The sequence below is a fragment of the Homo sapiens genome, chromosome 6 (genome assembly GCF_000001405.40).
Source record: "Homo sapiens chromosome 6, GRCh38.p14 Primary Assembly".
Lineage (NCBI taxonomy): Eukaryota > Metazoa > Chordata > Mammalia > Primates > Hominidae > Homo > Homo sapiens.
The window spans coordinates 105,346,223-105,372,204 of NC_000006.12; the positions used below are offsets into that span (position 1 = coordinate 105,346,223).

At 39.2% G+C, this 25,982-nt stretch overlaps 1 protein-coding gene across 3 annotated transcripts in view, besides 1 other annotated feature; it reads right to left on the reverse strand.

The window, feature by feature from the left end:
- The window catches only part of PREP (prolyl endopeptidase), a 129,865-nt gene that overhangs the window by 73,005 nt on the left and 30,878 nt on the right, over positions 1-25,982 (reverse strand). For all 3 annotated transcript variants that reach the window (NM_002726.5, XM_011535925.4, XM_005267044.4), the window contains exons 6-7: positions 22,681-22,802; positions 6,750-6,855 (exon numbers count right to left, since the gene is read on the reverse strand). In NM_002726.5, coding sequence (NP_002717.3) covers positions 6,750-6,855; positions 22,681-22,802 — 228 coding nt within the window. The remainder of the gene's footprint in view (positions 1-6,749; positions 6,856-22,680; positions 22,803-25,982) is intronic.
- Positions 13,772-13,961: an enhancer, noted in NCBI's record as "active region_24868". NCBI's record gives its function as "activates an Ori minimal core promoter by ATAC-STARR-seq in GM12878 lymphoblastoid cells {active_cell/tissue: GM12878}" and the evidence as "EXISTENCE:reporter gene assay evidence [ECO:0000049][PMID:35858748]".

The following is a 25,982-nucleotide window of genomic DNA, read 5'->3' on the forward strand; positions in this document are numbered from 1 at the left end:
TGTTTATCTCCCCTTTTCCACTCTACGCCCAAAGAATGTCCAGCCCTGTCAGGCAAGAACAAAAGAGTCAGTATCATCTCTGCTACCTAAAAATAAGAGCTGCATTAGTCAGAGATGGTGAAATGACCAATCTACATGTCTGCTAAATACCAGATTTCCTTTTATGGTTATGTGTTAGCATGTAATGCAAATTTAATTCCTAATGCAGGAAAAAGCCAATTTTCTTTAATGACACAAAAGCCTTAAAATAAAAATATGGTAGGTACTGAATACTTTATCAATCTAAAACAATCAAACTTTTAGCAAAAAAAGGAAAAAGCACAGACAGGTTAGTGAAAGTCTGGGCAAATCCCAGGTAAGCTGATATTTCCTTATAGAAATCAGCATGTCACCACCATGCACCTTTTCTCCCTAAACTCCTCATAAATGCTGTGACATGAGAAAAGACCGCTCTAGGCCCGTTTTAAGGATGCCTATATTGAAGGAGGTTGTTAAGTTACTAACAAAAAAGATTTCAGACTTACGGTTCTTTTTGCCTAACAATCACTTCTTAAGAATTCTATTAAAAATCTCTGATATAATTAACTTTAAATGTAGGTCGGGTGCAGTGGCCCATGCCTGTAATCCCAGCACTTTGGGAAGCTGAGGCAGACGGATCACCTGAGGTCAGGGGTTCATGACCAGCCTGGCCAACATGGCGAAACCCTGTTTCTACTAAAAATACAAAATTAGCTGGGTGTGGTGGCAGGCACCTATAATCCTAGCTACTTGAGAGGCTGAGGCAGGAGAATCACTTGAACCCAGGAGGCGGAAGGTGCAGAAAAAAAAAATGTATTCAGAACAGGGACTAATGGTCAGCTCCTTTTTTGCTGCTATTATCCTATAAAGCAGGGAATAAAGTACCTGACTTTCTACTGGAAAATTAAAGAACCAAAGAGAAAAGAAAATGAAAAAAAGAAAGAAAACAGAAGAGAGAGGAAGTCTGAGCATGGATCTGTGCGCTGGGCCACAGCCCGTCAGACACTCCCTCAAACTGATGATATCCACATCTTACCATCCAGCAGATGGGGAGCACTTGAAGGGCAGGGGCTACCACGTGTCATTACAAGTGCCCAACACAGTGCCTGGCACAGGGTAGGACATTAATGCATGTCTAATTCATAACTAAATATATGATTTAGGTACTCCTACATTTTAAACTGAACCTTACATACAGTTGTTTATAATGTAGACAACAAAAGTAACCAAAGTTAAATTTTAAAGAAGTTATTAGTATCTTCTGCTTTTCTAATAAAATTATTTAGAAATGTATCCCTGAGTTAAATGTATTTATATTTTTAAGGCAGAAACTTAAGTTTTCATGTAAATTTTTAAAGTCCACAGACTTGAGAGAAAAGAGACAGCTCTGAGCTCTGATACCCATACTGCAGAAAATATTCAAAAATTTATTCTGAATTTTGTCTATGTAACTAAAGTATATAAGGCAACTTTTTATATATTAAAAATAAGGCCAGACACAGTGGCTCACACCTGTAATCCCAGCACTTTGGGAGGCTGAGGCAGGAGGACTGCTTGAGCCCACGTGTTCGAAACCAGCCTGGGCAATATAGTGAGACTCCATCTCTATTTTATATTTAAATAAAGTAAATAAATAAAATAGGGTTATAGCAAACTTAGGAAACAAAGTATATACATACTTCAAAATAAATAATATTGATTAGGAAGGTATAGAAAATATAAGAAAATCCAGACAAATTATTTTCTTGTAAGGTTCAGGATAATTAATTTCAACAAATCTGTGGGCATGAACCACATCAAGGATCATAGGAGTCAAGACTCAGCTGTCTTTTCTACTCCAGAACTAAAAAACGTCATGCTAGCCTGGTGTCTTTAATGTTACCTTGATACTTCTTCACTTTTGATGTTAAGCAACAGAATAAGAGAATCAAAAATCTTCTGCTCACACAATATAAAGGAATGAAAAAAAGAACCCATCATTCTCAGTGCTTAATAAAGGACAAAAATTTAATGAAAAAATATTTAGGAAGCCACAGGGATAAAGATTCAAAATGCTCAGAAGGCAGTAACCGTTACAGAGGGAGGGGGGCTTATCAAGCAAGGCCACCTGAGCACAAGGATCCCTAAAGGGACACGTCATTCGAGACAAGCTGGTACACACCTGCTGTGAGTCCAATAGGGACTGCTCTAGGTGCTGGCAACTCCATGGGGAACAAGACAGGCAACATCTCTAATCTCATGCAGCTCACGGATCCTCACACAAAGTGCTTTTGTATGGAGAGAAATGGAAATCAGAATGGGGGAAAGGAGGAGAGGGGGCAACTCTGGAGAGAAAGGTATCTATCAAAAGTACAAGGAAGGCCAGGCACAGTGGCTCACGCCTGTAATCCCAGCATTCTGGGAGGCCGAGGCAGATGGACCATGAGGTCAGGAGATCGAGACTAGCCTGGCCAACATGGTGAAACCCATCTCTATGAAAAATACAAAAACTAGCCAGGTATGGTGGCATGCGCCTGTAGTCCCAGCTACTTGGGAGGCTGAGAAAGGAGAATTGCTTGAACTTGGGAGGTGGAGGTTGCGGTGAACTGAGATCACGCCACTGCACTCCAGCCTGGGTGACAGAGCAAGATTCCGTCTCAAAAAAAAAAAAAAAAGTACAAGGAAGCCTGGTAGCCCCTGACAGGGACCTCTCTTCTCCCAAAGCAAGAAGGTAGTAACTCCACACATTTCTCTGGTAAGCCAGTGGAGAATAGGACATGACTCTTTGGAGACGATCTGCTTAGCTGTTCTGAACAGCTGAAAAATTATTATATATAAGCTTCTAAAGCCCAGATGACAGGCCTAATTCCATTTCTATACAGTGATGCATGAGGTGAGTCATGGAAATTACCTGTTCAGAAAAGGTAAGAAGGAGCAATTGCCAGCCTCAACTGCAGTTACTGGGTAAAGGATGTGATCCACAGCTTGCAACAAATGTGTTCATATTCTTAAGTGAAAATACTGCAAATGTAAATGGCAGAAATGAGGTTGTCCAAAGAGAGGCAGAGAACAACAGAGACAGCACTCCCATAAGGCAGCAAAAGAACAGAAGTCCACACTTATTTGACAAAATGAATCCAGTTTTAATTCATACAGATCGCATTTAACTTTCAAGTTGCTAAGATATTTTCTATCCTGCTAATTTAGTTTTTTCTCCCTATGTGCTTTTTAAAAAGATATTAAATTGCCATTGGCCTTTTTCAGGGGGCTTTTTGTGCTCTCATTTCAAAATGCACGTGGGCAGGTTTTCTTGGGAGACACAGATGATGGCAACGTGACATGAGCCACCCAAGTGAAATTCTTTAGTCCTCAAAAAAGACAACTGAGTGGTATCCTAAATATATAAATAATTAATTTATACAAAAATGCTGATAATTCCCCCTGGCTTTAAGGGAAAACAGCTTAAAATCCTAGCAGAAAGGCTTTAAGATATCAAAAGAGGTATAGATTTTAGTAATATGAAATTGGAGGTTTCACAACATGGATTGAGTTTTCAGGCACCAGTTGTTCAGGTCTAAGTCATCTAACATTCAAGTTAACTAGTGCATTTAGCATTTAAGTTAAATGTTAATTATTCTATTTTTAGTGTAAAGAGGATAACAAAATTGGGGAAGCAGGTAAAAAAAAAAAAAAAAAAAAAAAAGCAAAAAAGATCCTAGGAGTTAGTCATGGTCATCAACCGGGCATACAGACCCCTGAATTTTCAATTACCAACCTGCACAATTAGACATGTTCCCTCACAGTCTTCTCTTTTGTGATTATGAATCTGGCTTTGCAGAAAACAAGTTAATTTGAAAATCTGTATTTAGAGCAGCTTTGAATCTGCAGATAGACTTTTTTTTGTTTTGTTTTTTTGGTGTCCTCAATCTAGTTTTCTAAGCTACCTAAAACTAAAGTACGGTGATTCTAAATATTCCTCTTTCAGTCAAGAAACAAAGAAAAAAAGAAGGAATACTTGAGAACTCACTGCATGCCAGAAACCCTGCTAAGTCCTTTTCTTTGCATTTTCATTATTCCTCACAATTCCCTATGAAGTAGATATTATTTCCTTATTTGCAGACATGGAAATATTAAGGGAGAGAAAAAAAAAACTTTAACAGGGTAACCAGTTATTTAGTGGCGGAGCTGAGAGTAAAATTCAAATCTGATTTGAAAGGCTGTGGTTATTATCCCAATATATCCAACTGTAACTAACAGGAACCATTTTTTTTCTTAATTTAATGATCCCTATCTGAATCTGCTGTGTCTCCCCTTTTATAGACTAAATTTACTTAATCTTTTCAATAGTAAAACAATCACACAAAATACTTGTTTCTCTAAATAGTCATGATCATTGATTCAAAATGAAACCAGTGATCAATTAAAAAGCAAACAAACAAGAGTTCTCTAACCCTGTCCCGCACCATTGATTTTTGAACCTAAGAATGAAAACTGATATCCACTTGGTGAATAACTGCAATTGTTGAGAACTTTCAGAATCCCAGGGCCACCATTCAAAAGAATTACTCTGAAGTTTATGTTATCCACAAACATAATGCTAGCAAAGCAATAATCAGAAAAAAGATAACGGGCTCAGTGCTACACCTGGAACCCAGAAGCTACCACTGGAGAATGCTGATCCAATTCATCAGTATGCCGCTCAACAGCTTCAAATCCACCTATCCTATGTTATTCTCTTCATATTCTGCTTTCTGGTCCACAGGATATGACATACTTTGCCAAACGCATCAGTAAAGCCCTAACACTGACAGATCAGGTTAGTACCACTGGACTTGTTTGTTCCATGAGCTCACTGTGATGGTCTTTTTGCTATCAACTTGGCTAGGCTAGTATGCCTCGTTAATCAATCAAACACAAATATAGGTGTTGCTGTGAAAGTATTTTGTAGATGGGATTAAGGCCCATAATCCATTGACTTTAATGAAGAGAGATTATCCTGGATAATTTGAGTGGGCCTGACTCAATCAGTTGGAAGGCCTTAAGAGCAGAGCTGAGGCTTCCCTGGAGCTCTGAATGGATCATGGCCATTAAGAGTTTCTTAGATGCTCCCCTTTATTCTTCCTCATATTCATTCTTAGCTACACTATCTAGAATTTGGTTTTTGAGAGCCTAGTGCACCTCTGTACTGTCTTCCTTTTGGAATCCCAATCTCTTGAGTACTCTCTTTTCTAAATGCTAACGCTGCAATAATAAAATAACTGGGTTGCAGGGGAAAGATAAGGACCGAGAGGTTGGGGGAAAACAAAGAGGGTTTCCATGAGTTTTGCCAGCACTTGAAAGTTTCACTCAAAATATTATTACGCCTTATTAAAGCAGATATAGCAATAGCAGTCTGGTATATAAATATGTGGACAGAATTTTATTCTCTATATTTGGAACATGTGTGCAGGATAACAGCACCATAATGTCTGATGTCACTGATTCGTTCAGGCTCAATCTTAAAAGGTTTGCTCAGTTCTATGAAGACCTATGCTTGCAACTCACGCAAACAATTCCTGGATGGTGGTTTGCCCTGACAGAGAATGCAAACACTGATGTGGCCAATGCTGGTTTCTTGACACCAAGATGGATGTATCTCTTTTTCTTAATAGAAAAAAATACTCAGTTTTATTAAATGGATATATATTTAACTCTAGGAAAAAAGTTGCTGACTTCACCCTGGTATATGTGTGTGAATGGTGCTCTGTAGTATCTAATGTTAGGATGCAGATCTTGCTCAGAGAAGTTTAAAAATGGCGCGATGCTCAATCAGACAAATATTTTCGTATCACAATGTAACACAGATTAGAAACTAATAATGAGGTAAATACATTATTACAGAAATGCACTTAGTATTTTGAAAATCTAGGTCAACCCTCTCTAAAATATTATTTATTTTGCATTAACTAGAAGATAATGTAATTAGCTTAGTGTCTGTCCTTATCGGGGTGCCAGTATGTCTGATAGGATTTCTGGGTCTGGGAATTTTCAGCATAGTAAATTGTGCAGCTGAAAAGTTTTTGTGCTTGATGATAGTGCTGGTATGATAGAGATGGTGGAAGAGAACAACATTTAAAATAAGCCATCTCCAGAATTTGTAACTGGCTGGTTCTATGCTTATCATGATATGTAAGGCTTTGGCAAGCAAACACAGGCTGTTCTTTTCCTAAGTACTGAGGGCCACTCTACTGATTACGTTAATCTAGCCAATTCCCATTGGTCTAATAACCCTTGCCTGTGACAGTTTGCAACATTACGCCTTTTTTGTTTATTTTAAAGACAGGGTCTGGCTATGTTGCCCAGGCTGGTCTCCAACTCCTGGCCCCAAGCTGTCTTCCTGCCTCAGCCTCCTGAGCCCCTAGGATTGCAGGTATGATGCCACTATGCCCGGCTGCACCATTAAATCTAAATAGTTACAGACCAAAAGGATCAGCTTCTCCTTCACGCTCTTCATGTGCAATACTCACGGGATATTTTCACACTATGTGCAGAAAGTATGGCTAATCTCAATCTACAGAGAAAATGCTAAAGCCAACAGTTTCATTCCATTTTCCCTCATTTTATGGAATAGTACTAAAAGAAAAAAAATCAGATGAACTGACATGATGTGGTAGAATGGAAGAGGGTCTTGGGAAATCAATTAATAGACCACAATAATACTTTTTAAATGAAGTTTCTTGGAATAACTATCTGTGTCTGAAAAAATAACTCACCCGCGATGCCACTGGATTCCTGCTGTAGGTCACAGTACCAGAGTCGGTTTACTGGATCACATCCTTCCCTTATTGATAACAAGACATAGCGGCCATCATCAGATAACTAAAAAAGAAAAAAAAATAGTGCAGGGGACTAATTAGAATTTATTTTTGTGAGAACATTATTGAATATTAAGTTAAAAAATTAAGGTTAATTTTCAAAGGCAGTGTCTCTGCCCCAAACTCATGATCTGATAAGAAAGTTATCTGAATAAAAAGATGAACATCAATTTTATCTTATTTCACCCATAATCACAGTTTAACAAAACACAGTGAATTATTTTAGTTGAAAATATCAGTAGAGGTAACTGAATGTCATAACTTCAATGTAATTTTTATTTTAATTTCTAGTCTATTCTTTAAACTGAAAATATGTGAAATCCATCATTTTGAATATAATATCCTTGACTTTAAAGTTTCCTCATGGGTTGCATAATTTAAAGTTTGTTGTTCTCAATAAAAATTAGCAAAATGGGGCCGGGCGCAGTGGTTCACGCCTGTAATCCCAGCACTTTGGGAAGCCGAGTGGGGGTGGATCACCTGAGGTCAGGAGTTCAAGACCAGCCTGGCCAACATGGTGAAACCCTGTCTCTACTAAAAATATAAAAATTAGCCAGGCGTGGTGGTAGGCGCCTGTAATCCCAGCTACTCGGGAGACTGAGGCAGGAGAACTGCTTGAACCCAGGAGACGGAGGTTGCAGTGAGCTGACACGGTGCCACTGCACTCCAGCCTGGGCAACAGAGTGAGACTCCATCTCAAAAAAAAAAAAAAAAAAAGAATTAGCAAAATGGGTATGGACGCAAGAAATTCACTATGGTTCACACTGGTCACATTGACAAGTTTCTACTGAACAACTGCTTATGCATATTTTTAGTCCCTTCTACTGCAAGATCTCAGAAATGAATGGCTTAGGCTCAGAGACTTTCCTTGTTAGTATAAACAGCAGAATGTTAGGTAGCAAAAAGAATCCTAATAAAAAAATCTAATACAAACAATGTATTATTGTTTTGAGTTGACAAAAAATGTGGTATCAAACTATACATATTCTTTTGCAACTAATTTTTTTCATTCAATGTTTTATAATTAGTCCATGTTGATATGTGTAAATCTAGTTCATTCATTTTAACTGCTGTATAGTATTACAATCCAGAAATATACCACCATTAGTTGATCCATCATCCTACCCATAAACATCTATATTATTTGTTTTCTTACTATTACATACTTCTTTAGAAAATTTCTTGAACATGTTTGTGACCTAAAATGCTTCCCAGTGTATATAACTAGAAGTAAAATTGCTCAGTGGTAGGACATGCACATATTCAACTTTATGAGATGTTGCCAAATTATTCTCCAAAGTGGTTGTACCAACTTACACTCTTACTTAGCAATACCGTATGAGAGTTCCTGTTCTTCCATACCCTTATTATGAGGGTTAATTTTATATGTCAATCTGGCTAGGCCATAGTGCCCAGATATTTGGATGTTAGTTTAGATGTTTGTGAAGTTTTTTTTTTTTTTTAAGATAAGATTACATTTAAATGAGCAGACTTAGAGTAAAGCGGACCACCCTCCATAATGTGGGTGGGACTCATCCAATCAGTTGATGGCCTTAACAGAACACTGACCTCTGCTGAACAGGAGGGATTCAGCCAGCCAACTGCCTTTGGACTCAACTAGAACTCTTCCTTGAGTCTCCAGCCTGTGGGCCTACCCTGCAGGGTTAGGACTTGCCAAGGCTCCACAATCACATGAGCCAATTCCTTAAACAAATCCTCTCTATGTATATATATACATACATACACACATCCTATTAGCTCTTTTCTCTAGTAAACCCTGACTAATAGCTGTTATTCTTTCATTTGCTCCTTCAATAAACACTTGCTAAGCAGTTATTTTGTGCAAGACATTTTTCTAGGTATTAAAGGTACATCAGTAAACAAATCAAGAAAAAATGTTACATCTATTCAGAGAGAGGAATACATAAATATGGAATTATGTAGTATATTATGATAAATGCCATGGAAAACATGAACAGGTCTGAGTAAGGGAGACAGGATATGGTGGTCGGGTTGTAGTTTTTTTTTTTTTTTTTGAGACGGAGTTTTACCTTGTAGCCCAGGCTGGAGTGCAGTGGCACTCCAACCTGCAATCTCTGCCTCCTGGGTTCCAGCAATTCTCCTGCCTCAGCCTCCCGAGTAGCTGGGATTACAGATGCCTTCCACCATGCTCAGCTAATTTTTGTATTTTTAGTAGAGACGGAGTTTCACCATGTTGGTCAGTCTGGTCTTGAACTTCTGACCTCAAGGTGATCCACCCATCTTGGCCTCCCAAAGTGCCACTGCGCCCAGCCAAGGCTGTAGTTTTAAATATGGCAATCAAGGTAAACCCCATTAAGAAGGCATCTTTCCACTGTTTTCTGACTTGCACTGTTTCCACTGGGAATTTGGTGTCATTTCTTATCTTTGTTTCCCTATATGCAATATGTGTTTTCTCCTCTGGCTGCTTTTAGTATTTTGTTATCTTTGGCTTTCTGAACGTTGATTATTCTGTAACAGGCTTTGATGTAGTACCCTGCTTGAGATTAATTGAGCTTCCTGAATCTGTTGATTTCTGTATTTTATCAAATTTGTAACATTTTTGGCCACTTGTGTCTCATGTATATATTTTTTGTCCTCTCACCCCTATTCTAGAACTTCAAATACATACTGTTACATAACTTGGTACTGCTCCACAGGTCAATGAAATGTGTCCATTTTTGTCTTAGTTTCTCTTTGTGGTTTAGTTTTGATTGTCCTGTCTTCAACTTTTGCATTTTCTTTTATAGCATCTAAACTGCTATAAACAGATAATTTTTCATCTCAGAGTTTTATTTTTTATCTCTAGAAGAGTATGTGGTTCATTTTTATATTTTCTATTTCTTTGTTCATTATATTAACACTTAGTAAAGATCTCTAAAAAGTATTTTTTTATGATAGCTTTTTATAAGTCCTTATATGTTAATTCTACTCTCTGTTATTTCTGGATCTGTTTCTATTGACTATTTTTCCTCTTGGCTATCAGTCACATTTTTTTTGCTTCTTTTTTAATAACTATTTATTTTTTAACTGGATTCTGGGCTTTTGAATGTTGTCTGGATTTCTTTTATTTTCTGGTCTGCCTGCAAAACATTTTGCGGCAGTTAATTCATTGGCGGATCAGCTTGATCCATTCAAGACTTGTTTTCAAAGGTTTGTTGGGTAAGGTATACAGCCCCACTGCTAAGGCATAGCTTCTCTGAGGTCTAAGTGAATACCCTGGGTGTTCACAAAGTCTTTCCCCTCTGACTTGTCAGAATGTGAACGTCTCCCAGCTGTTTTAAACCTTTGGGAGTTGTCAGCTTACAGCCCCCTAGTAGTTCTTAGCTTGAATCATAAAGTCTCAGTCAGCGTACACACTGCTTAACAGTTAGCCGAAAACATGAGGGGATTCCAAGGCAGATACCTGAAACTCTTAGTGGGCAGTTCCCTCCTTTTGTTATTCTGCCCTGCAAATTCCAGTGGCTTCAGTCTCCCTGATTTCCAATCTTTGGATCATTAGCTCAGTGAGACTACGATACTCTGAGCTCCTCCTCCTTGTGCCAGAGGCCAAAAAATAACTCCAGGCAGAAAGCTGGGGCAACTGTAGGATTTACCTCTTTCCTGGATCAGTCTGGGGCAGCCTATTGATCAATATCTGAAAACAGCTGCTTTGTCTATTTTGCATAGTTTCCTAGCTGTGTACAGCAGGAGGACTAGTCCAGTACCAGTTATATCATCATGTCCAGAAGCAAAAATCTATCATTATGTCTTAAACAAGTCTCTTGCAAATGAACACAATTTGAACACATCTAGTCTTTAAAATCCAATCTAAAAATCTGTATTCCATATCCACTAATTTTTATTGCTGAGGTACTGGCTTCCACATTTTAAATTTTGAACCTTTTATTTATCTTGCTTTCCCCGGTGTCTTTCCTCTTTGTATTATATTTTTCCTTCTTTGATTTGGGAATTATACATTCTATTATCCTTAAGCTTTTAATATACATGGCTAACAAAACTGTTCAGAATTTTGGTTCCATCTTATTTTTAAACCATCCTATATTAAGATTATCCACAACTTCACAATTATAATCTTATTAATATAATTGAAAGCAACATCATTAATACTACTTCATACTTTTGTTCTCTTGTCCTTTAAATAAACACAGACTCTTTACAGCTTACATCAATCATAAATGATGGCTAATTCAGTTGTAGTGATTCAGTCATCAGAAAGATAGGGCAGTAACATTCACTGCAAGAACCACACCAAACCTTTGATGACAGCTGTCTCAAGCACATCTAATGAGTTTTTCTCAGCATTTCCAGCTGTGCTAAATAGCTGTAGCAGTTTATACTTAATCTGAAGCAGGCAGTCCCAAGGTACATTGCTGTTATAACGCCAATTAAGTCAGTCCTCTTCATTATAATTCTCTTCATCACAATCTGGAGTTGCTCCATAGCCACTAAAATTTGCTAAACTGAAAACAACGTTGCATTTTCAAATGCTCAAAGTCACAAGCCTCAAAATCATTTGTAAGTCACTGTTGCCCCAAAATGTACAGACTAAAAATATACCTTCTTCCACTTAAATTTAAACAACACACACTTAATGACAGCCCCACACCCAGACTATTTCAAGGCAATTTAAAAGATGAATTTTGTAAATCATTGGGAGGGGAAGACATAAATCCTGTTGATGTGGAGGGCATGTGACTGTGAACAGAATAAAGTTACTTTCCTAAAAGCCAGATTTAAAAAAAGAAAAGTAGAAAAGCAGGCAAGCCAAGAGCCCATTAGGCCTTCGTGGAACAGTTTGAATTCCGGTTCAACAATACTGTTTTTTTTTTTTTTTCTCTAAGTGATAATGATATCCCAGCTAGAATAATTGTGCTCTCCAGAAGCAATTAATCTGATTTGCAAGCACTGATTTTTTCTTTTGCAAAAACTAATAATATTAGCCTGACCAATTATGAAATAATTCCTAAATTTACAAATTCCTAAATTTGTGCTTTCATGGCTTCCTTCTATTTTAAATCTATATTATTTTAAACAAATTTTCCTTAAGTAAAAATGACTTAACTTCATAAAAATCTACCATTTATGTAAATAAAACATTAACAAAAACAAAATTAAAAGAATTACTATAAATGAAACATTTACATTGCTGATATTAAATCCATTACTTGCATTCCTAATCATAACAATAAACATCAAGGTTAAAACTCTTTACCATTTTTATTACTGTCAATTTTTAATATGTAGGTTACTCTGACAGTCTACTTCTGCAAAGTCACCTGTTGAATTATATTTAGAGTACTGATTAAATATAATTAGAAAATATTAAAAGAGAAGAAAGTACTAACATCTGTATTGATAAATATATTTGGAAAGAGGAAAAAATCTAGATGTAGAGAGAGTGTGGTATTCTACAGATGGGCTAAATAACATTTGGTCATTCACTGGTACTAAGCCTTTCATTTTCTATAAGCAGACAAAACCTGGGAGGTTATTAAAAAAACAGCCAAAAGCCACACCCCCATGCTTCTTCTCTGGTGGCTGGCAGAAAGACATGTCTCCTGAAGGTGGGAGGAGCACTCACCTCCAGGCTTCAGGGAGTAATTCACTCTTCCCCCTTGCCTTGGCTACTCTTTCTTGGCAAAGTTTCCTCGAATTTAACTTCTCTTTCCACCAGAGTGGAATCAAGGTCGTCAATGAAAGGGGGAAGTCACTCAGCTTGCTTTGGTTAAGGGTACTTGGTTATGCCATTCGTCATTGTAAAATGGATCTTCTGGGTGGTCCAGCCCAGTTCTCCAAAAGAGTCAACTACCACAGGCTCAAGGGCAAAAGCCTTTTCATAAAAGTGTATTCCTGTGCCCAGGTGGATGAGGTTGGACAAAGCTACTATCACCAGAAGTGGCTGATCTTAATAGGAAAATTTCGGTCAACTTCCTGTCCCCAGCCAAATTCTCACCTCCCATAACAAAGACACAATTTAACACGTGCCATCAACCACTGCAGTCCACTATTCAGGGCAGCCACAGCTGGGGTGTGTATTCCCCCAAGATTTATCAAGAGTCTACCAAGTGCTGGCTGCTGAATCAGGCTCAGGCACACACAGATCAATAGGCTAGAACCTTCAAGAACTCATGCTCAGGTGGGAGAGACAGATACACTAAAGGATACAGACACACACAGAAAAGGCCATGTTGTAGAACATTAATAGCAAGAAGTACAATGTATGATGTGAGTGCCAGAGAGGGGCATCTACAGGGTGGTGAGCTGGACGGAAAAATGAGTTCTGAGAAGGCTTTTGGGAAGTGATGACTCCTAAATGATGATTAAAGAAGTAGAATTCCCCTAGTTTCTTGAAATTGTCCATGCTTAAAACTCAAAGGCTACACTGGTTTATGTTATCTGGTACAGAGAGCTATGTTTAACATATATTCAAGTACGTACATTCATTCTCAAGTGTATATCTCACTGACAGACATCAGCATGTGTAGTGGGTGCTGTGCTGGGCTGCCCTCTAGGGCTGAAGCCCTCATCTCCCAGCTGATGGGTGTTGGGAGCAGACAGCTCTCAGACGAGAATCTCTCCAGGTCTCATCCTCAAGTTGAAGATGGCACCTCTCCCAAGGTCATGCATTCTTTTGGGTTCATCCACATATGACAACTGGTTAATGTAGGTTTATAAAGGCCTGGACCCCTCTCCCTCCTGTTAGGACAATGCTGAAGGGCTCACCTAGCTTGAGGGTTCCTGTAGGATTGTCTGACACCTCTGTGATGATTGCATCACAGCTGAAGTTCTCCCTCTGCTGCGATCGTTCGTCACACAGGCAGAGATTTTGAAAGCTCTCCCATCAAACTTCTAGCACACAAATTTCTATCTCAGAGTCTGCTTCCCAGGGAAACTGATCTGTGACAGCATGTAAGGCATCGCTAATATCCTGTAAATATGCAGTGTGTACAACACAGCCCACGGCCACTGTTCTTCCACTCAGTGTCCTCGCCAGGCCCAACAAACAGTTCACTTCTCTCCGCCTCAGGTCTGAATCAACTAGAAACAGAACAAGAGTCAACAGATGGAGAACCGAGATCTCAACTTTAGTGCTGAATAAGTACACACTTAAGAATGTGGCTTTGTGCTGTGAGTCAGCTAATCTGTGAACTCCCAACCTCTCTCATTTCTAGTCATTGAGAAACCAAGATTCAATGAAATTCCTTGGCAGGGAGGTCAGAAAAATGGGGAAAGAAGTGTTCCCCTTCCATCTTGGTGATTTCTTACCCTGGCATATTTTATGCTAGCCTGAGGAAACCTTTTTAAGTCTTGGCTTCTACTTTTGAAGACGAAACCCAGTAACAGCTATCATTCTAACTTACATTTATCAAAAGGTAGGACATAAGGTATGGGGGTATTGTATTTTATAGTTTCATTAAAGAAGCCACATTAATCCATTAACAATTCTACTGTGTATACTGTGGTTCTAGGCTACACTAAGGAAGTCCAAGAAAACTCTCACTAGACATAGTTCAAATTGTTAGAGTATATGTATAAAATACATATTTTATACTTAACTCTATTAGGTTCACATGTACTTGTCTGATAAACGTGTAATTCGGACAACTTAGCATATTCAGGAAAATAACTCCTATAAAAATCACAGAATTTAGAGGGACAAGTAGCAACTGGAGTCTTTTTAAGGGAATCTAGTCCCAAATAAATGTTTTTACAAAATGTCTTCAGTTAATGCCTCACCTAGGTGTGATGTGATTCACTCAGACCAGAGTCTTGATCAAACAATTCCACTTCACAAGGTCATCGGCTCTACCACTGGGTCATTTGAAGGCTTTACACACACACATACATATGTACACACACATATATATACACACATATACATACCATACATGTATGAGTCTTCAGGGTAAGTATGAAATAGATACTAACATCTCAATATGGAATTCTCTGGAAAATGGGTATATATTTTAAACAATAAACCTATATTATTAATATTAAACTGAATCTGGCTATTTTCAGTCTCAATACCATATAATGCAAAGAATACCTGAGCTTTCCAAATGACCAAAGTAAACAAGCCTTTCTTCATATTAAGAGACAATTAACAGAAAAGCATTTCATGTTTTAAACTCTCAATAATTTAACTATGTATGAAGTAATTTGTCCTTAAAAACAACAGAACACAAAACCTAATATTTATATATATACAGGATATGTGGACTTACATCAAACATATTTTCAAAGAAAAACTCAAAAGCTATTTTATGCTACAGCAACTACACTCCAGTCGTGTGGTGGTGTATTAATAAGGAAATTTTCATGGCCATGAAATTTCTTTAGTATAATTTTTTTCTCTTAGAACCTAACCAAAAAAAGGCAAAGAAAGTTTTTTCATTATTTGAATCTACATGCACTTTCAAACTGAGGAAGGTATTTTCTTTTATATGTTATAATAAAAGAATTAGTTGCACGTAAAAAAAGCATTCTAAAAAGCAGTGACACTTGAAATTGTCCTGGAAATGAACAAAAGGAGTGAAAATGGATTTTAATAGCTTTGAGAGTTAATCATGCTATTCTCAGAGCAGGAGACTTTATCAAATTTATTTTATATAAATCTTTTGAATTCCTTTCATAATAGTTGTGAATCATGGCAACATCCCTTTAATATTATTTTTCTAACACTTAGGAAAACTTTTAAAACTAACCACCTACAATGATGACTTTTCATATATGAAACTCATTTATGGATTTGTAATAAAAATAAGGGGCAATGCCAGTAACAGACATACAGGGGAGCCATAAGCACATGTGAGTATGCATTAATAATTTTAACAAATAAAGTTACCCAGCTTTCCCAGTACAGTGTGGTACAACAGCAATAGAAGAAAAAAAGAAATCAATCCAAATACTGTGTGTTGTGTTGCTCGGTATGCCAGAAACTGATAAAACAGAAAATTCTAAGAAAACAAAACACGTACAAAATAAAATAAATAATGTAGGACTTGACATGATATAGGCACTACTGTTTCTAAGTTAGCTGGTTGTCTGTTTGATAAATTTGGTTATTCAACAATCTACTGTTGGGGTTGGGTGTGGTGGCTCAAGCCTGTAATCCCAGCACTTTGGGAGGCCGAGGCAGCCGAATCATTTGAGGTGAGGAGTTCAGGACCAGCCTGGCCAACATGGTGAAACCCCGTCTCTACTAAAAATACAAAAATTAGCTGGGCTTGGTGGCGTACGCCTTTAATCCCAACTACTCGGGAGGCTGAGGGACGAGAATCGCTTGAACCCAGGAGATGGAGGTCGCAGGGAGCCAGGATCACACCACTGCACTCCAGCCTGGGCGACAGAGCGAGACTCCATCTCACAAAGAAAGTATCTACGGTTTGTCTTATTTTCTTCCTTGCTGAGAAAAACAAGTGTTCTGTAAGAAAAGCGATTGATCAACAAATCCAACATGTCTACTAAAAACAACTCTCTTCTGCAGGATTGTTTTATGTATGAAGAGCGGCACAGCCTTCTTGCTTTACTCACATCCACGTCTCTAGCTTGGCTTTCTGACTTTTCTGCCTTCCCAACCATGCTGCTGAGATTTTCCTGTGTGCTTATCAGCACGGTGAATATTATCACATAAGGCAGTGCTAATGAAACAGTGGTGGACACAAGGCAAGGGCTAAGTACTTGGGGAATAAATATGGACTGTGCCAACTGGGAAGAGGGCTACTGAGCAATTACTGGTCCAAGTCAAAAACAGCCAACCAGCAAGGGGCAGAGGAGGCAGGGACCCCCCACCAGGAACACCACTGGACTTTTCTGTGTCTGTTCTGGAAGGTGAGACCCTGCTGGTCTTCATGTGCATGAACTTCCACAGGGGACATGGGAAGAGTAAGGAAATTAACATTCACTGCATGCCTACTATAAGTCAAGCATCAGGCAACACACTTTATATGTTAATATATGTGTAATACATATGTTTTTAATTACTAGGGTTCACAGGTGAACATATAAAAATGGCTTATGGAGACACAACAGATACTAAGATTCAGGATTACTTTTGAAAAAAAAACTTTTCAAGAATTAGGTATAACAGAATTAGGTTCTCAATATAGGATTTAGGGAGATAATCACAAAGAAGCTGGGCATTTTTTCCTTAATCCTTTCTAAAGGGATGATGCATTTTCACAATCTTCATTCTAGAGCACCCTCTGCTGGGAACAGTGCCACAAAGTGTTTGATTTCTTTAGGATTTTTTTTCTCCCCAGATGCTCACAATTCACTTTAAAACAGAGCTTTGTGGGTTTTTGGGTTTTTTTGGTCCAATAGAACCTGACAATTTCTCTCCTGCCATGAAACTGTCCTTCAAGTAAAGCCTCACAGTCTATATTAAATAACTGGCACCTCTGCCCATCAAAGCCCAATGGCAGCTGTTTCATGTTACACCCCAGGGGCACAAGGGAGCTCTTGTTCCTGAGCCCAGCATTTTGGACATGTGCAGGAGGGACTGAATGTGGGAGGCTTCCCGAGGTCCCTGGCTGAAAGTGAGGAGGGCAGTGAACACATCCTGTACCTCCAGAACAGAGTAACCCATGGATATGCCTTCCCCTGGAGCAAGAGGTACCCAGGAAGCTACCAGGAAGACAGCTGGCCTTGAGACATCTTGAAAGGTCCCTGATGAAAAAGGGTGGAGGAAGGAAAGGCAGAGAAGTCTGAATCTCGAGGGAATGCTTCTGGGATCAAAAGCTTTGGGGCAGGCAGGTGGTGCAAAAGGGCAGCCAGAGAGTTTATAACCCACATCAGGGAACAGCAAAGTACAGAGTTTCCTAAAATCGAGGGGATGTCTCTGAAAAAAGGATGGCATAAGGAGAGCTGGAACCTGGACATACATCCTCATTGCAAGCAGCCAAGAGAGGCCAACAATGATAGACCAACAAACAATTCCCAATAAGCAAAACTCCAGTTTCTCTTGTCTTACTCCTCCTCCCTGAGTGGCTACTGGGAAAACTAACAGGGTGAATAGGCAAGGAGAGGGGCTTGGCAAACTTGAGCTGGGTAGAGGGCGAAAGCATGTAAATTGGAGAGAGTGATATTTTGTTCTGGACTGCAATGAACCTTTAATAGCAGTTCCAATAACCAAAAGTGTCCAGAAAGCAAGGAGTTCTGCCAGGTTGAAGGCAGTCGTCCCGGGAAGACACGCTGTCACAGCGTGACGGAGGGCAACAGTGGGGAAACTAAAGCTGCTTCCTGATTGGAACTTCCTGAGATCTGCCTGATCAAGGCAAGACAGACCTGTCCATGCAGGAAGGCAGAGGAGGTATCTGTGAAGAAGGAAGATGAGTCACGAGGAGACAGCATCTAGGATATAAAGAGAAGTTCTCAGTGAACTTGGACTGCGGCAGCCGAAGGGGAGGTTGACGACAGCAAGCCAGAGAAATCTGCACACGTCCACAAGCACATCCAGTCTCTGCCCACAGGGTTCCTCCACCCACACCCACAAAGCCCGCATCCTGCCCTGTGTCCTGCTTCTCTCACACCCAGCAGCTAAGTTCTCTCCCAGGAGGCTAAGAGATGCTGTGATAAATCCTCCGTCCAGTTTCAGAGCTGAAAAAGCCCTGGAAGAAATAAAGGAAATGACCTTGAACAGATTAAGTGACTTGCCCAAGGCCACAGACCGAACTAGAATAAAAATTTCTGTTCCAGTACAGTCCTCCCACTCTAACACTGGCTCTCTCATCACAGACACTGTAAAAACTGTTATCTAAATACTAGGTTCTATGACTGGACTAAAAGCAAGTACTTTTATAACAAAAGCAACAATTAAATAAAAGCAACAATTGCAGCACATGCCTTTGGTACATGGTTATAAAGAGGACTACAGCTGGGCACAGTGGCTCACGCCTGTAATCCTAGCACTTTGGGAGACCAAGATGGGCGGATCAGAGGTCAGGAGTTTGAGACCACCCTGGCCAACATGGTAAAATCCTGTCTCTACTAAAAATACAAAAATTAGCCAGGCATGGTGGCATGAGCCTGTAATCCCAGCTACTCGGGAGGCTGAGGCAAGAGAATTGCTTGAACTTGGGAAGCGGAGGTTGCAGCGAGCCGAAATCATGCCACGGCACTCCGCCCTGGGTGACAGAGTGGGATTCCATTTATTGCTTTTCTCTAAGATGCAAATCACTAAATAAAGGCTGTTAAGAAATTGCTTCATTTCCAGTGAATAGCCTGAGAGCTAATGTGTCCACCAGCCATGGGTGCTTCTGGCCCAGCTAGTTCTACAGTGCACCTGCTTCTTGGACTCCCCTGGCTTTATCACACTTCTTGAAGGGCACAAGAAATTCCCACCTCAAGATTTTTTTCATGATCCAGATTTTTCTGAGTGAAGACTTGGAACTGGACCATCAATTCAGATTGGACCTGAGGCTTCTGAGGCGTCACAGCAGCAGAACTCTAGAGTTCATGTTTAAGTGACAAGAGTACTCCTCCATGTAGCAAGATGGTCCTTTTGCTCAGAAGATCACATACAGCTGGGTTGGGAAAGGAGGAAGGAAGGAGCACTTACCTAGCCAGCCAGACCTGCCTGACCAGCCATGGTAACTGGTGGGATGACACCAGTCACAACAAGACCACCCAAGTTCTGGAACACTGCTTGAGGGAAGTCTACGCCCACTTCTTGTTTACGGAGCCCACGAGTTTTCTTACAGACTTCCTCTGCGTAATTCACTAAATAGGGCCCTGATCCAATAAAGATCAAATATAAAGGACTCACTTTATATTGTTCCTTTAGCTTTTTTTTTTTTTTAAACAACTTCATTTATTACTTCTGTGCAGTAGAGATGCATCCCTTTATTTATTGCTATTCTTTAAAGTCATTACTCTTAGGCTGGGCATGGTGGCTCACGCCTATAATCCCAGCACTTTGGGAGGCTGAGGCCGGCGGATGACCTGAGGTCAGGAGTTTGAGACCAGCCTGGCCAACATGGTGAAACCCTGTCTCCACTAAAAATACAAAAATTATCCCGGCGTGGTGGTCCATGCCTGTGTAATCCCAGCTACTCAGGAGGGTGAGGCAGGAAAATCGCTTGAACCCGGGAGGTGGAGGTTGGAGTCAGCCGAGACTGAGCCACCACACTCTAGCCTGGGCGACAGAGCGAGACTCCATCTCAAAAATAAATAAATAAATAAAACATAAATAAAGTCATTACTCAATTTTTGTGTGCCCTTTCCTCTTGATCAGGGAAACAGTGTACACAGTGGTTAAGAAGATACAGGCTGTGACCCTAACAGACCCAGCAGGCAGTTCCAGCATGGACTTGCAAGATAATTACCCTAGTAGGTATTTTATTTTCTTTATGCATTCCTTCCTTCTCAGACTGTAGTAAAGATTATATCGGATGAGATACGCAGAGTGTACATCTATTGAAAGAATGGTAGAAGGATCATCTGAACTATTTAAATTTGCTTTTCTTTTTATTTGCCTAGCTAGCAGAAGTGACTATACATATGTTTAATGCATGTGATATATTTCCACTCTATTTGTAAACACTAGCTGCTCACAGCAGCATTACTCATAACAATGCTGTGGAAAGCAACCCAAGTGCCCAGGGATGAATGGATAAATAAACTGTGGCACACACACATGGAATATTGTTCAGCGTTAAAAAGGAGGGAAACCGACACACGCTACAAGATGGCTGAAGCTTGAAGATGTTACGCTAAATGAACTAAGCCAGTCACAAAAAGACAAATACTGTAAGACGACATGTGTATGAGGTACCCAGAGCAGTCAAATACAAAGGGACAGAAAGTAGAATGGTGGCTGCCAGGTGATGGCAGTGGTGGGTGGAGAGGGGTGGGGGAAATGAAGAGTTATTGTTCACAGGGTGGAGTTTCCACTTTGCAAAATGAAAAAGTTCTGAGGATTGATGATAACGGTTGTACAACAATGTCAATGAACTTAATGCCACTGAACTTGTAAGTTCACTTAAAGTACACTTCACTTAAGTACAATTTGTAAGTTGTACACTTAAAAATGGTTATAATGGTCAATTTTATGAGATTATATATCATATAATATTTTGGTAGCATATTTATCTTAATCCTATTTCACTCAGATGAAGGTAAAAAATGTACATTATTTCATATCTATGGTACGCAGAAGCCTTATGTATGAGGAGAAGATGTAGTAGATAGAAAACTTGGCAGAAACAGTCTCCAAATAGATCTCAGAAAAGCCATTAAAAACAAATACGTGAGAAAAACAACAATAGCAATTGCACAAGAAAAGCTGGTAGAGTGGGAAGTTAGATGGGAAAGAAAAGGCATGAAAAACGGACAATTGGGAGGCCGAAGCGGGCGGATCACGAGGTCAGGAGATCGAGACCATCCCGGCTAAAACGGTGAAACCCCGTCTCTACTAAAAATACAAAAATATGCCGGGCGTAGTGGCGGGCGCCTGTAGTCCCAGCTACTTGGGAGGCTGAGGCAGGAGAATGGCGTGAACCCGGGAGGCAGAGCTTGCAGTGAGCCGAGATCCCGCCACTGCGCTCCAGCCTGGGCGACAGAGCGAGACTCCGTCTCAAAAAAAAAAAAAAAAAGAAAAACGGACAAATTTTAGGGTAACAAAATGTCCTATAAATTTATTTTTAACACATTCTACTAAAATCTGGCAAACTTTTTCTATAAAGGTCTAGATAGTCCATATTTTCAGCTTTGTGAGCCATACGGACTTCTGTGGCAATTACTCAACTCTGCAGTTCTAATTTGAAAGCAGGTGAAAATGGGTGTGGTTGTGCCACAAAAAAACTCCATCTACAAAAACAGGCAGCAGGCCAGATCCAGCCCAGTGGCAGCAGTTTTTTTTACTAACCCCTGGTCTAGAAAACCCAAATAAATAAAAGGACAATTTGGAATACGGAAGATCAATTCCCATGGAATAAAATACCATAGATTCCTGTTTTGTCCCCCAACGAAGCAGACAGAGGAACGTAAGTTAAAATTGAAAATGTCCCTTTCCTAACAAACTGCTAATTGTTTTTCAACTGAAGAGGTGTCTCAATGAGCTAAAAAGTTTGTAGTACATTTCTCATTCCCACTAAAAATGGAATAACATCCCACCCATATTAAAACATATTCAGAATGCTTCTCTAACAAGAAGTATTTCTTAGTACACAGGAATGAACTAACCAGAGTCAAAATTTTACTCCAAGTACCCCTAAGTTTCTTCACAGCTGATTCTCAAAATACAGACTAAATTCTAGGCCAGTAACTTAAAAACCTATCACTTCAAGAGGTTGGTCCCTGTCAAGACCCCCAAGGAATATATGAATATTGATGAGAAAATGTATAAAAGACACTCATTTTAATGTAAAAACAAGTGAACAATATGCATGAAAAGAGCACAGTTGTATAAAAAAGGGAAAGACACACTCTCTTTCCCCCATACTCTCACTTGTATGTACAAAGAAAATTTGTGGAAGGCTACCACACTCACCTCTGAGAGGCAGGATTCTGAGTTTTGAAAGGTTCATGTTTTACCTTACTAGGTACTTTTATAGTTTTTACTAGAAGTAAAATTACTTTTTTACCCTCAAAGTATTACTTTTAATATTAAGAGTAATAGGTTGAGATTGCAGTTAAAGGTTTATCACCTCCATTATTAAGAGTCAATCTGAATACCAATATTTTTAACAAAAGAATATTCACTCATGGGACTTCTGCCATCCATAAAGGTCACCACATAATAAGAATATTTATACACACATCCATGAAACACAGTCTTTGGGGGTAAAATTTCACAGCTGTACAATACCTCAGCTCCACCCATCCATTTAGGTTCATCAGGAAACTCAGCACACAAAATATCTTCTGACTGATCGGTTCCCAAGACATGGTAGTAGAGCTTTTGGTGGAGATTGGTAGATGTCTCTGTGCCTGAAGGAGTTAAAAATGTACACTGAAATGTACTTGATAATTTTAAGAAAATCAATTCCACCCATATTGCAGAATGCTAGACACATTTAACAAGTAGCTGGCTGCAGGATACAAGGTTAACATACAGAAATCAATTACTTTCCTATATACCAGCAACGAACAAGTAGATTTTGAAATTAGAAACAATACATTAGCACCTCCAAAAATGAAATATTTAGGTATAAATCTAACAAAATATGTGTAAGATCTATCTAAGGAAAACTGCAAAATTCTGATGAAAGAAGTAGAAGAACTAAATAAATGAAGAGCTAGTCCATGTTCATGGATAGGAAGACTCAACATTGTCAAGATATCAGTTCTTCCCATTTTTGTCTACAGATTTAATGAAATCCCAAACAAAATCCCAGAAACATATTTTGTGGATTGACAAACTGATTCTAAAGTTCACATGCAAAGGCAAAATATACTGACTAGCCAATACAATACAGAAGGAGAACAAAGTTGGAGGACTGGCACCTAACCTCAAGATTTATTATAAAGCTACAGTGATCAAGATAATGTGGTATTAGCAAAACAACAGACAAATAGATCAATGGAACAGGAAAGAGAGCCTAGTAGCCTTTTTAAAAAAAGGTGCTGGGACAACCAGACATCCACAGGCAAAAATATGAATCCAGACAAGATCTTACACCCTTTACAGAAATTAACTCAAAATGGATCACAGACCTGAATGTAAAACATAAAACTATAAAATTCCTAAATATACAAAGAACTCAGCAATAAGAAAAACAAACAAACAAACAAACAAACAAAAAAACGATTAAAAACTAGGCCAAAGGCCTTGACAAACATCTGACCAAAGATACACAGATGGCAAATAATCATATGGAAAGATGCTCCACATTATATATCATTAGGGAAATCCAAATTAAAACAATCAGATATGGTCGGGCGTGGTGGCTCACACCTGTAATCCCAGCACTTTGGGAGGCCGAGGCAGGTGGATCACCTGAGGTCAGGAGTTCGAGACCAGCCTGACCAACATGGTGAAATCCCGTCTCTACTAAAAATACAAAAATTAGCCGGGTGGGGTGGCATGCACCTGTAGTCCCAGCTACTTGGGAGTCTGAGATACAAGAATTGCTTGAACCCGGGACAGAAGATGCCGTGAGCTGAGATTACGCCACTGCACTCCAGCCTGGATATTTATAAAAATACAAAAAAAAAATTAGCTGGGCGTGGCGCTAACTAGTCCCAGACAGAGTGAGACTCCATCTCAAAAAAAAAAAAAAAAAAAAAATTCAGATATAACTATACACCTGTAAGAATGGCCAGAATTCAGAACCCTGATAGCACCAAATGCTGTCCACGTTGTGGAACAAGAGGAACTCTCATTCATTGCTGGCAGGAATGCAAAATGGTGTAGCCACTCTGGAAGTTTTGGAGGATTCTTATAAAACTGAACAGACTCTTAACCACATGATCCCACAGTCATGCTCCTTTACCCAAAGGAGTTGAAAACTTGTGTCCAAACAAAGACCTGCATACAGATTTTTTACAGAAGTTTTATTCATAAGTGCTAAAACTTGGAAGCAACTGAGCATTCTTTCAGTAGGTGAATGGATACACTGTGGCACATTCAAACAATGACTATTTAACACTAAAAAGAAATGAGCCATCAAGCTGGGAAAAGGCCTGTAGGGAACTTAAATGTATTATCAGTAAGCGAAAAAAGCCAATCTGAAAAGGCTACATACTGTCTAATTCCAACTACAGGATGTTCTGGAAAAGACAAAACTATAAAGACAGTAAAAAGATCAGTGACTGCCAAAGATTGGGGTGAGAAAGGAATGAATTGTTAGAAGACAAAGGATTTTTAGGGCCAGGGAAACTACTCTGTATGATACTACAACACTGGATACATGTCACTATACATTTGTTCAGACCTTCAGAATGTACAACACCAAAATCAAACCCTAAAGTAAACTATGAACTTGGGTGATAATGATGTGTCAATGTAGATTTACCAATGAAAAACAAATGTACCACTCTGGTGGGGAATGTTCATAATAAGAGAGGTAAAATGAATATGTGGGGGCAGGAGGCACATGAGAAGTCTCTGTATTTTCCTCTCAATTTTGCTGTTAACTTAAAACTGTTCTAAAAACTAAACTTTACTTTTTAAAAAGTTAAGTATCGGCCAGGCGTGGTGGCTCACGCCTATAATCCCAGCACTTTGGGAGGCCGAGGTGGGAGGATCACAAGGTCAGGAGTTCAAGACCAGCATGGCCAATATGGTGAAACCCCATCTCTACTAAAAATACAAAAAAAATTTAGCTAGGCATGGCGCTAACTAGTCCCAGTTACTTGGGAGGCTGAGGCAGGAGAATCACTTGAACCCGGGAGGTACAGGTTGCAGTGAGCTGAGATCACGCCACTGCACTCCAGCCTGGGTGACACAGTGAGATTCCATCTCAAAAAAAAAAAAAAAAAAAAAAAAAAGGTTAAGCATTGGTTGAATATCAAACTGAAAGTAATTAACTCATATTTGCTGATTTTGGAGGCTTCTTTGAGGCTGAACTTCTTTTTTTCATTATGATGACGTACCAAGCTTTCAGGGCAAGGGAGGGAAAAACATAAGATAATACCAGAATGTAAAAAAAGCTTCATGGCACTTAAGTGATTGTCATTGAGCTTTCAGGGACACTGGTAAGAAGCACATGGTAGGAATTGCTTAGCTTCATTTGTAAGGCTCCCATCACAGTCTGAGAGGCTACTGAGATGTTGGCTTTCTTATATCTATCACAATTACTAATTATTATTATTTTGTGCCACTGAAAGCTGATGGTAAATAATAACTTTTGTTTTTTACAAGTTAATGTAATAACGTTCTCTAACATGAATTGGCCAGTTATACTTTTTTTGTTTCCCAGAAGGTGGAAATAACTAACATTTTCTAACTCTGGGGCACTCTTAACACAAGCAGCTAATTTCGTTTCCAGAGCGCAGACATCTTTCTTTAGCCAACATCCTTGAATAAAAAACCTACTTTTAGCTCATCTTGTAATTCATTGGCGAATTTATAAAAAAGGTCTTGATGTAGCCTAATCAAAAGGCAGAAAAAGCTAAACATAGCCAAGAGATGAAAAACACTGTAGCCTTATTCTCAATTCAATTGTG